Consider the following 11,505-nt stretch of genomic DNA (forward strand, 5'->3'; position numbering starts at 1 on the left):
CAGTATCTGATTCTCCTCTGGAGCATCCTTTCCGAGTGATGTGAAACCCCCGATGGTTGGGAAACTCACGAAGCCTGCAAGACGGACCATTCTATCTCTGGAGAGCTCTGCTTACTAGAAATGGAAACTTACTCTGAGCTAAAAAGTCTCTCTCTGAAGTTTTCATCCATTGCATCTTCTGCTTGCAGGTTACACTGAATTGAATGTGCCCTTTCCTTGTGTTGACTCATTTGATATTTGACAACAATGAACTTGACCCCTCAGTCCCCTCTTTTTTGAGCTAAAAGATCCTGGCTTCCCCATTCATTCCTCATTTGCAGGATTTTGAGCTCTTTTATCATCCTGGTGGTTCTGTCTTGACTTTGCTTGGTTGGCTGTCCTGCATCCTTTGCAACCGTGGAGCTCAGCAATGAATGCAGCTCTGAGATGTTCTCTGTCCACGTTGAGGAGACAGGGCCTCTCCTCTTCCTAGATCTGGAGTCCCTTCCTCTTGTTAGTCCAGCTCAAGAACTCTTATGACGGGAGTAAACTTGCTGTTGCCTAAAATCTCAAAGCCATGTGGTGTGTTCTGCTACTAAGCCACAACCCTCTCATTCAGGACTTCACGGAGATCCTTATTTTAATGTCAGGTTTTCTTAAGCAAGACACACCGGCAGAAGAGTGGTCTAATCTGGAACTGACTGAGCTCTCCTTTTTCCCTAGAACTGGTCAGGCATGAAGTGCCAGTTCAAGCTGCTGCGGATGGCTGTGGCCCTTATCTGTAGTAAGTACTGATGGGGCGCTGGGGAACCAAAGCCTGGCACCAGGGCCTGAGGTTCAAAGATGGCACAGTTCCTGCCCTTCACGGGCTTATGGTCAAGAAAAAAAAAGTGGGACATGTCAATGGTTAGCAAAAAAGTAGGGATATTGTGAGAGCTGTCTGTCCTGCTGTGCTGCTTCGTAACCATTCATCTTTTATTTATTTATCTATTTTTAAAAATTATATTTTCATCTTTTTTTTTGAGACAGGGTGTCTCCCTGTGTCATCCAGGCTGCAGTGCAGTGGCACAATCATAGCTCACTGCAGCATCAGACTCCTGCCTGGGCTCCGGTGATCCTCCCTCTTCAGCCTCCCAAATAGCTGGGACTACACATGTGTGGGTCCATGCCTGGCTGTTTAAAATTTTTGGCAGAGATGGGGGTCTTGCCATGTTGCCCAGGCTGGTGTTGAACTCCTGGGCTCAAGCAATCCTCCTGCCTTGGCCTCTCAAGTTGCTGGGATTACAGGTGTGAGTCACCACGCCTGGCCTTTTATTTTATTTTATTTTATATTTTATTTTATTTTTATTTTATTTTATTTATTTTATTTTATTTTATTTTTGAGATGGAGCCTCCCCCTGTCACCCAGGCTAGAGTGCAGTGGTGTGATCTCGGCTCACCACAACCTCCACCTCCCGGGTTCAAGTGATTCTCCTGTCTCAGCCCCCCAAGTAGCTAGGATTACAGGCACGTGCCACCACGCCCAGCTACTTTTTTGTATTTTTTGTAAAGACGGGGTTTCACCATGTTGGCCAGGCTGGTCTCAAACTCCTGACCTCAGGTGATCTGCCCGCCTTGGCCTCCCAAAGTGCTGGGATTACAGGCATGAGCCACCATGCCTGGCCCCAGCCTATTTTTTCATCTTTTTATTGACATATAATATGCAAACAGAAAAGTGCTTAAGGACCAGCACCCAGATCAAGACAAATAACTTCCTAACCTTTTTGGTCATGGAACTGATCCTTTGAGATCCCTTGTTGAAAGTCCAAGACCCTGTCGCCAGAAAAATACATATATGTGCACTCATGTGCATACACACATATATCAAAAGCTGCAGTTTTAGCAGGTTCGCAAACTGTAACTAGTCCAAGAACCTCTAGGAACAAGATGTCTTCAGGGCCCTAGTTGGGAGAGCTCAGTTCTACCTACAGAGGTCATTCTGAGTGTTAGAGGCAAGCAGGTGTCCACCAAGTAAACATGGTGTAAGAGGACATTTCAGGCAAAGCTGCAGCCTGAACTAACATATAGATGGGTGAAGGGTCATGGCCAGCGAGTTGGTTAGCAAAACCAAGAAATTCGTTTTGGGATTGTGTGTGATTTTGATCAGAGATAAAGTTAGTGAAATAGTATGAGTCAGATTGTTAAGGGCTTTAAATGCTAAGAAAAGAAAATGTACTTCACTTTGCGTTCCCTGGGATCCCACTGGAGGGCTTTCAACAAGAGAGTTATTGATGGATAACCAGAGTTTTAGAAAACCAGTCAGGCTGCAGTGTGGAGAATAGATTGTGGGGACAAGGGGGATAAGACCAAAGACCAAAGGCCAAAGGGCTCTTTCTGAGATTGAAAGAGATGAGTCTGAACAGAAGCAATGGAGGTAGGGGTCGGGCAGTGTGGCTGACGCCTGTAATCCCAGCACTTTGGGAGGCCAAGGTGGGAGGATCGCTTGAGCCCAGGAGTTTAAGACCAGCCTTGGCAATATAGCAAGACCTTGTCTCTACAAAAAAAAAAAAAATACAAAAAAATTAGCCCGGCATGGTGGCTTGCGCCTGTAGTCCTAGCTACTTAGACTGAGGCAGGAAGATCTCTTGAGCCTAGGAGTTCAATACCAGCCTGGGCGACAGAGCAAGACCCTGTCTCCACACACACACACACAAAAATTAAAAATTAGCCAGGCATGGTGGCTTATGCCTATAGTCCTAGCCCAGGAGCTTGAGGCAGCAGTGAGCTATGATCATGCCACTGCACTTCAGCCTGTGTGACAGAGCGAGACCTTGCCTTAAAAAAAAAAAAAAGAAAAGAAAAGAAAAGGCCAGGCGCAGTGGCTCACGCCTGTACTCCCAGCACTTTGAGAGGCCAAAGCGAGTAGATCACCTGAGGTCAGGAATTCGAGACCAGCCTGACCAACATGCTGAAACAAAAACAAACAAACAAAAAAACCAATGAGGATAGAAGAGGGAGTGAACGCATTTTCTCATCCAGTCCTCCAAACCCACCTAGAAAGGGTATTATTATTAGCTTAATTTATAGGTAGAAACTCCAGGCTCAGAGAGTTAGGTTCCTAGCCCAAGGTCACCCAGCTAAGAAGTGATAGAGCCAGAATTCAGAGCCAGCCTGTGCCATTTCAAATGTCCCACATGTTAGCCAAGCTAGACAGTAAGCACCTGGGCTTTCTCTGGGTCAGCTACCTGCTGTGTAGGTAAGAGGAAGACTGAGTCTGAACAAACCTGGGATGGAGGGTCAGGTCTGGGAGGGCTCCACTTCAATTCACGGAGGGTCAGGCCTGGGAAGGCTCCGCTTCAATTCACGTCCACCTTCCTTACTTCTTACCCCATGGCTTTCAAGAAATCAGGTCTGCCCCTGACCCTCTGTGGGTCTCTCTGGATCTGTTTCCTGGATGGGGCTGGAGAATCTCTCATCCCAGGAAGGAACTTCCAGCCTTAAAACCTGAGGACTCCTTGAGTCAGGGTATTAGGGTGCAGTGGGGTGGCAGTGGGTGTGTCATAGCTTCTGCGTCTGCTTAGGCTCTGAGTTTGTTCGTTTTTGAGGAAGGAAAGAGAAGCACGAGTCTTGTTGTTTAAAAAAAAAAAAAATCCGGCCGGACGCGGTGGCTCACGCTTGTAATCCCAGCACTTTGGGAGGCCGAGGCGGACGGATCACGAGGTCAGGAGATAGAGACCATCCTGGCTAACACGGTGAAACCCCGTCTCTACTAAAAATACAAAAAATTAGCCGGGTGTGGTGGCACATGCCTGTAGTCCCAGCTACTGGGGAGGCTGAGGCAGGAGAATGGCGTGAACCCGGGAGGCGGAGCTTGCAGTGAGCCGAGATCGCGCCACTGCACTCCAGCCTGGGCAATAGAGCGAGATTCCGTCTCAAAAAAAAAAAAAAAAAAAAAAATCCAACCGTAAGCATCATAAAAACTAAAATGCTGTATCGGAGTTGGAGACCATCATCTTTCATACCTCCTTTATCAAACCCTGGACCTGGGGAGCCAAGGCTGGAAGGCTGTCCCAGGGCAGGAGTGGGAGTGCGGAGGGCGGAGGGTCAGTCCCTGGATGCGCCTTTTCTGCCATCTATCGGCCATCCTTGGAGTTGCAGGGCTCAGCCCAGAAGGCTGGGCAACCCCAAGGGAAATGAAGGTCCCTGGAGGTTCTGGCACCCCCTGCAGTGGTTAGGGTGGAGAGAAGTGCCCTGGCTCATTAACTGGTAGCTAAATAGGTATAAAATTCCCCTCAAAGGGCTTTATTTCAGTGTCAAATTTGCCTTGGTTTTTCTCATCTGTAAAATGGGAATAAGAATATCTACCCTCAGTGTTCTTTTGGTAGTGGATAATGGGATGGCAGTTTCCTAGCGCCCATCCCCACTTGACTGGCTGACCCAAGAAGTTCACACAAGAAGCGTGGATTGGTGATCAGGATGAAGGCATCTTAGAATCTGTTACAGGTCTGGGTGTGGTGGCTCATGCCTATAATCCTAGCACTGTGGGAGGCTGAGGCAGGAAACTCACTTGAGCCCAGGAGTTCAGGCCTGAGCAACATAGTAAGACCTCATCTCTACAAAAAAAAAAATTTTTTTTTTAATTACCCAGATGTGGTGGTGGGTGCCTGTAGTCCCAGCTACTTGGGAGGCTGAGATGGATCACCTGAGCCCGGGAGGTTGAGGCTGAAGTGAGCTGTGATGGTGCCGCTGTACTCCCGCCTAGAGTGAGACCTGTGTCAACAAGAACAACAAAAAGAATCTGTTAAGGGGTCAATTCAGCAGTTTGTTGGGGTCAGGGTTTTCTTTTTTTGTTTGTTTTTGAGACAGTCTTGCTCTGTCGCCCCAGCTGCAGCGCAGTAGTGCAATCTCAGCTCACTGCAACCTCCACCTCCTGGGTTCAAGCAATTCTGCCTCAGCCTCCTGAGTAGCTGGGATTACGGGAGCCCACCACCACACCCAGCTAATGTTTGTATTTTTAGTAGAGACTGGGTTTCACCATGTTGGCCAGGCTGGTCTCGAACTCCTGACCTCAGGTGATCCACCCGCCTCGGCCTCCCAAAGTGCTGAGATTACAGGTGTGAGCCGCCGCACCCGGCCAAATGTCACCTCTTTAGAGAGGTCTTGCGTGACTCCCCGGGCTAAAGAATTTCCCTCCTTAAAACAGGCATTGCTTTTAATCACCTGTTTCCCCCCATAGATGTCTCTCTTCCTGAAATTATCTCATGTATGTAATTGCTTACTGGTTTATTGCTAGACCCTGTAAGCTCTGGGAGAACAGAGATTTGCCTGCCTCCTTCACTACTGTGTCCCCAGTGCAGAGAATGGTGCTTGGCCTAATAGGGAATGAATTCATGGGTGGGTGATGAAGTGAAGGCCCTCAGCCCCTGCTCAGGGCCCTCCTGTGACATCTCTCTGCTTCCTCCCCTTGCAGTGAGCATGGAGTTTGGGCGGGCCGTGTGGCTCCGCTTCCACCCGTCGGCCTATCCCCCGTGCCCTCACCCAAGCTTTGTGGCGCACTTGGGTGGCGTGGCCGTGGGCATCACCCTGGGCGTGGTGGTCCTGAGGAACTACGAGCAGAGGCTCCAGGACCAGTCACTGTGGTGGATTTTTGTGGCCATGTACACCGTCTTCGTGCTGTTCGCTGTCTTCTGGAACATCTTTGCCTACACCCTGCTGGACTTAAAGCTGCCGCCTCCCCCCTGAGGGCTGGAGGCCCAAGGTCGGGGAGGGGAGGGAAAAGCAGCACCCACAGGGAGCGCCTGCGAGGTTTCTTCTCATCACCAGCTCAGCTAGGCCGGGCAGACAAGGACAGAAGACTCTGGGCCACTGTAATGTTTGTGTTTAGATTTGGACACACAGTGGAGACCCTTTTCTGAAAGGCATCTGGCGGAGGAGTTGATGTGGCTGCTGTCGTTTTTCTCGGCTGCTCTGATGACATCGGGCCAGGGTGAAGGTCTGGGGTGGGGTGTGAGAGTGGCCCTCCCTCACCTGGGCTGGGCTTCTTCCATGGGGCCAGGGGGTGCCCCCTCACTGCTGCGGATTGAGCAGCAGCTTCTTCCTCCTCCTCTACCCTCAGAGACCCTAAGAGACATGGGAAGGCTCGAAGGTTGTTGCGTCCAGGCATGGCCCCTCTCTAGCTCAGAAATAATTGCAGGCCATGTGGTGTCTCCTTGACACCTGCTGTGTCTGGGGCTCCAGTAAGAAGAGGGCCTACTGGACATGTCAGCTGTGACCTGGCTGAAACCAGGGTGCCCTCCTGGGCTGGTTGGTGTGCACCGGGGCATGATCTGTTGTGCCTGGGTTGGGCAGAGCAGGGAGCCTGTAGGCTCTAGGACCCCTCTTGTGCTGGGGGTACCCAGTGAGAGGGACCCATGCAGGGGGAATAAACTTCATTCCAAGTTCCACCCTGGAGAAGACAGACCCAGGACCAGCTTCAGACTTCTCCCTCCCTTTCTTCCAGGATATTGGCATCTCACACGGGTGCCCCAGCCTCCATGCCCAGCCTTGTTTTAGGGTCTTTTTCTTTCCTTTTGCTGCCCTGACACTACTTTGTGCCTCTCTTTGGTTATGGAGACAGTGTTTTGAAACATTCATGCGTGTGTGTGTGTGTGTGCGTATATGTGTGTATGTGATGGGAAAGGTAACTGAGGCACGACAGCGCCTGCAGAGAAGGCATGGAGGATGCAGGGGGCCCATGTGGGCATCCGTGAGAGGTGGCAGACCGTGGTGTGCTGTGGTTGCTGAATGTCCTTGCTTTGACAAAGCCTGCCCCCTTCCTTCCCATCTCCTGTCCCTTCCACACCTGCCCCTGAGCATCACTGACCGGTGGCAGAATGGCCCTGCTGGAGGGAGAGCTCAAGCCCTCCAAGGATCCCTGGATGCTGAGGTTTGCCAGGTTCAGCTCTTGTTTCCGTCTGAGATGGCCTTCATATCCAAAAAGGTTCCATCCTATCTCCCTTAGGAGAGAAAGAGCTTTGGGGGCGCAAGAGAGGCTGGGGTAGGAATGTTGAGGCCATGTGTCCATTTAAGTTAGGGGGACAGGAGGCTACAGGAAGAGGAATTCCAGTTTAGTTGGAAAACTTTGCCTCAGGAGAATTGTTGGGTGCATGGATGAACCTCAGAGGGAGGGCAGCCAGTAGCCTCGGAGGCTTGGATGCGGGAGAGAACATGGTGGTTATCAAATCCACCCCACCCCATTACACAGGTGAGAAAACAAGATGGAGGGAATGACCCTCCTAACAGGAGCTGGTGCAGGCCCCGAATGGAGGGCATGAGGATGACCTTTGACAAAAGATGACACTCCCTTTATCGTGCTCTTGGAATTCTCAACCACTGACAGCCCAGAAGAACAAAGAACGCCAGGCCTGGGAGGAGGCAGGGGGGCTGGGCGTGTCCAGAAACAGGGGCAGGAGTGTGGGAACGGTCTTCCTCCAGCCTGGTGCCCATCCTGGCCCTTGAGTGTAGCAGGGTCCAGGGTCAGTCAGGCCAGGCATTTGGGGTCTTGGGCCACAGTGGCTTCCCATCCTGGTGACTACATGTAAATGGGCTCACTCACTCACTGGCAGGCGAGGCCCAGCCATACCGCATCTTGGCCCACTGCTAAATAGATTGCCCTGGCCTCATCCACATATGTAGTTCCCTAGGTCCTGCTCCCCTGCACCAGTGCCATGCTGAGGGCCGCAGCCTGTGGCACTGTGGGCCCACGCCTTTGGCGGTGTTGCGTCAGCCTGGGGCGTCTTGTGTGTGCCCTGCCCACCGTTCTCTGCCCTAGTGATAGAAAGATGTAGATGGAAGTCAGTGCCTCAGAGGAGGAGGCTCTGAGGCTGTGGAGCTGGGCTCAGGGAAGACCAGGGGAGGATGCAGAAGGAGTCAGGACATTGCTGCCTCTGCCTGGGCTGCAGCCGCACTAAGCTGAGCGATGAGGTCCTTTCCTGGAGGGATGGAGAATCCCCTCCAGATTCCTGTCCTGGCCCCTGGGGATTCTGTGGTGTGGGTGGAATGAGCAGAGTGCCACCTCTGTCTGGTATGACCTGGAGAGGGGGCTTCCTCTCTTAGGGGTGAGAAAGCATTGAACTAGAAGATTCTAGAAATCCCTCATAGAAGCACTCAGCTCCCTCGGGGACTCCCAGGGAAGCTTGTTACTGAGAAGGACAGTGGAGGCGGAATCGTGTCTCCCACCATGTTAAGTGTGTCCTCTGCTGCCAAGGACCCTCGTCTACACCTTAGACCACCAGCCCCAGCTGTTCTCTGTCAGCACACCCACCTCCATCCCCTCTCCCAACCATGACTTCCAAGCGGGGCCACAGGGTGGGGTCATAGGGTCACTTCACCTGACCCAGGCCTCTCCCCAGGTCAGGAGGCAGCTGTCTGGTCAGAGGGGTTCTCTTTGTGGCATCTGGCTTTCTCCTCAGCAGGTCCCACCACCCTCTCAGCAGCACTTCCCCATGGCCAAGGCTGGCCGTGTCCTCTGTGCCTCTTTCCTTGTCTGAGGTGGCTGCCAGCCCAGGGGGTGGTGTGTAAATCTTCAGGCTGGTGGAGGTAGGTTGGCCTTTTATCCACAGGATACAGAAACTGAAAGCTGGGGAATCCCCAAACAGCAGCCATAGACTCACTGGCTCTCATTAAACGGGAGAGGAATCACAGAAACTGGGGAAGGGAAAACAAACCTTCAAAGGAGAAATTTCGCTTTAATGACACCATTCATCATTCGTTTTTTAATTAGGAAAAGCTCCCTAATGAGGCTCTTTTGCCAGCTAATAGGACTCTCGATTTCCATGAGAACCATTCTTGCCCAGAGGATTAGGGGAGCTGTTGCTCACCACACCAGGATCTTCCCCCAGCGTCCAATTTAATTTGCAAATACGTAATGCAGATTCCCTGGGTGCCGTGAAAGCCTTTCCTGGCATCATTCATGTTGCTCCCCGTGCTGGCTGGAAAGCACGGTTCTCCTCTGCCTTAAAAACAGTGCCCAACAGTGAACTGCCCCTCCGAGGACTTGAGTAAGTGGAAAAAACAAAACACAGACTGCAATGTTTGTTTCTAAGTATTTTTGTATTGTGTACATTCTGTATATTTTTGTTGTAACATATTATTTGAGCACAGATTCCATTAAATATTTTTTTTCTTTTTCCAAGCCATTGGTTATTCAGGAAGTGACCTGAAGGGCTGGCATTAGGGCCTGTTTCATCTGGGTCTGGGTCAGGATGGGTGGGAGAGGGTGAACAGCAGCGGTGGTGGATCCAGGATTTCTATAAAATACAGATTGGGGCATCAGTGCTTAGCACCAGTCTGTAGCTGTGTGCATCTTACTTAACTTTTCTCAAATCACTGAACTCTTTTGAGTGGTTGATGAAAGCTGTGATTTCTCTTCCCATAAAAATGTGTATGTAGGACGGGCATGGTGGCTCACGCCTGTAATCCCAGCACTTTGGGAGGCCGAGGCGTGTGGATCACCTGAGGTCAGGAGTTCAAGACCAGCCTGGCCAACATGATGAAACTCCGTCTATACTAAAAATACAAAAAATTAGCTGGGTGTGGTGGCGCACGCCTGTAATCCCAGCTACTCAGGAGGCTAAGGCAAGAGAATCGCTTGAACCATGGAGGCAGAGGTTGCAGTGAGCCGATATTGCACCACTGCACTCCAGCGTGGTAACAGAGTGAGACTCCGTCTCAAACAAAACAAAACAAAAAAAACCAGGCCAGGCGCATTGGCTCACGCCTGTAATCCCAGCACTTTGGGACGCCGAAGTGGGCGGATCATGAGGTCAGGAGTTCGAGACCAGCCTGGCCAACACAGTTAAATCCCGTCTCTACTAAAAATGCAAAAATTAACTGGGCGCTGTGATGGGCACCTGTAATCCCAGCTACTCGGGAGGCTGAGGCAGGAGAATCGCTTGAACCCTGGAGGCGAAGGTTGCAGTGAGCCGAGATCATGCCACTAAACTCCAGCCTGGGCGACAGAACTAGACTCTGTCTCAAAATAAAAAAAAAAAAAAAAAAGGAAAAGAAAAGAAAATTTAAATGCTGCAGAATCTATCCAAGAACAAACTTTAGAGTGCCATTAAGGCTAAAGGCCAAAGAACCCACTTCTGTTTACAGTGTGGAGATCCAACTTCCCTAGAAGGAGAAATCAGGATCCTCTCTGAGCATCAGTGCTCTTATAGGTCAACTTCAGGCTAAAGTACCTGAGCCATTTAAAGGCAAGCTCCTGCCAGGCGCAGTAGCTCATGCCTGTAATCCCAGCACTTTGGGAGGCTGAGGCAGGCAGATCACTTGAGGCCAGAAGTTCGAGACCAGCCTGGCCAACATGAAAAAACCACATCTCTACTAATAATACAAAAAAACTGCCAGGCGCAGTGGCTCACGCCTGTAATCCCAATACTTTGGGAGGCTGAGGCGGGCAGATCACGAGGTCAGGAGTTCCAGACCAGCCTGACCAACATGGTGAAACCCTGTCTCTACTAAAAATACAAAAATTAGCTGGGCGGTAGTGGTGCGTGCCTGTAGTCCCAGCTACTTGGGAGGCTGAGGCAGAATTGCTTGAGCCTGGGAGGCAGGGGTTGCAGTGAGCCAAGATCCTGCCACAGCACTCCAGTCTGGGTGACAGAGTGGACCCTGTCTCAATAAATAAATAAATAAATAAATAAATAAATAAATAAATAAATAATAAAGGCAAGCTCCTTGGAGAGCCAGAAGCTGTTGAATTCTCTGCCTTTGCCTTCTCTCCCTTTTTCACTTTCCTGGTTCTTCCCTTCTATTAATACTAGATTTTCATTCTTCCACACATTAATAAGGCACTTCCCAATAATAAGGTAATTAAGAAATGAAGGGCCGGGCACAGTGGCTCACACCTGTAATCCCAGCACTTTGGGAGGCCGAGGCAGGTGGATCACCTGAGGTCAGTAGTTTGAGACCAGCCTGGCCAACATGGCAAAACCCCGTCTATACTAAAAATAAAAAATTAGCCAAGCATGGTGGTGCATGCCTGTAGTCCCAGCTACTCAGGAGGCTGAGGCAGGAGAATCACTTGAACCCAGGAGGCAGAGGTTGCAGTGAGCCGAGATTGCGCCATTGCACTCCAGCCTGGGCAACAAGAGCGAAACTCCATCTCAAAAAAGAAACAAACAAACAAAAAAAACAGGTGCAGTGGCTCATGCCTGTAATCCTAGCACTTTGGGAGGCTGAGGTGGGTGGATCACCTGAGGTCGGGTGTTCGAAACTAGCCTGACCAACGTGGGGAAACCCTGTCTCTACTAGAACTACAAAATTAGCCAGGAGTGGTAGCACGTGCCTGTAATTCCAGCTACTTGGGAGGCTGAGGCAGGAGAATCGCTTGAACCTGGGAGGTGGAGGTTGCAGTGAGCCGAATTCGTGCCATTGCACTCCAGCCTGGGCAACGAGAGTGAAACTCCGTCTCAAAAGAAAAAAAGAAATGAAGACGATTTCCTGTGTACCTACTATGTGCTAGGCACTGAGGTAGGCATTTCCACAGCTACTTTATGTGAACTA

The 11,505-nt window shown here is 50.6% G+C and overlaps 1 protein-coding gene and 1 long non-coding RNA gene across 16 annotated transcripts in view, besides 1 other annotated feature; one reads left to right on the forward strand and one right to left on the reverse strand.

Annotated features, from left to right (window-relative positions):
* RHBDL3 (rhomboid like 3) overlaps positions 1-9,132 on the forward strand; it is a 58,830-nt gene extending 49,698 nt beyond the window's left edge. For 12 of the 15 annotated variants that reach the window (XM_047435507.1, XM_017024275.2, XM_017024273.2 and 9 more), the window contains 2 exons: positions 703-763; positions 5,429-9,132. In XM_047435507.1, coding sequence (XP_047291463.1) covers positions 703-763; positions 5,429-5,700 — 333 coding nt within the window. In that variant the 3' untranslated portion in view covers positions 5,701-9,132. Of the gene's footprint in view, positions 1-702; positions 764-5,428 lie in introns of those variants that run through there. The other 3 variants (NM_138328.3, NM_001330181.2, XR_001752439.2) reach the window with 2 other exon arrangements.
* Positions 7,101-7,980: an enhancer, noted in NCBI's record as "H3K27ac-H3K4me1 hESC enhancer chr17:30649649-30650528 (GRCh37/hg19 assembly coordinates)". NCBI's record gives its function as "activates a minimal SCP1, AML or CMV promoter by ChIP-STARR-seq in primed H9 embryonic stem cells {active_cell/tissue: H9 hESC(primed)}" and the evidence as "EXISTENCE:reporter gene assay evidence [ECO:0000049][PMID:30033119]".
* Positions 9,030-9,889, reverse strand: LOC124903980 (uncharacterized). The gene is made up of 2 exons (XR_007065711.1): positions 9,849-9,889; positions 9,030-9,245 (listed from the first exon to the last, which is right to left on the reverse strand). It is a non-coding gene; the product is annotated as an uncharacterized LOC124903980 (long non-coding RNA).
* Positions 9,890-11,505: the final 1,616 nt, after the last annotated feature.

The sequence above is a fragment of the Homo sapiens genome, chromosome 17 (assembly GCF_000001405.40).
Source record: "Homo sapiens chromosome 17, GRCh38.p14 Primary Assembly".
Classification (NCBI taxonomy): Eukaryota; Metazoa; Chordata; class Mammalia; order Primates; family Hominidae; genus Homo; species Homo sapiens.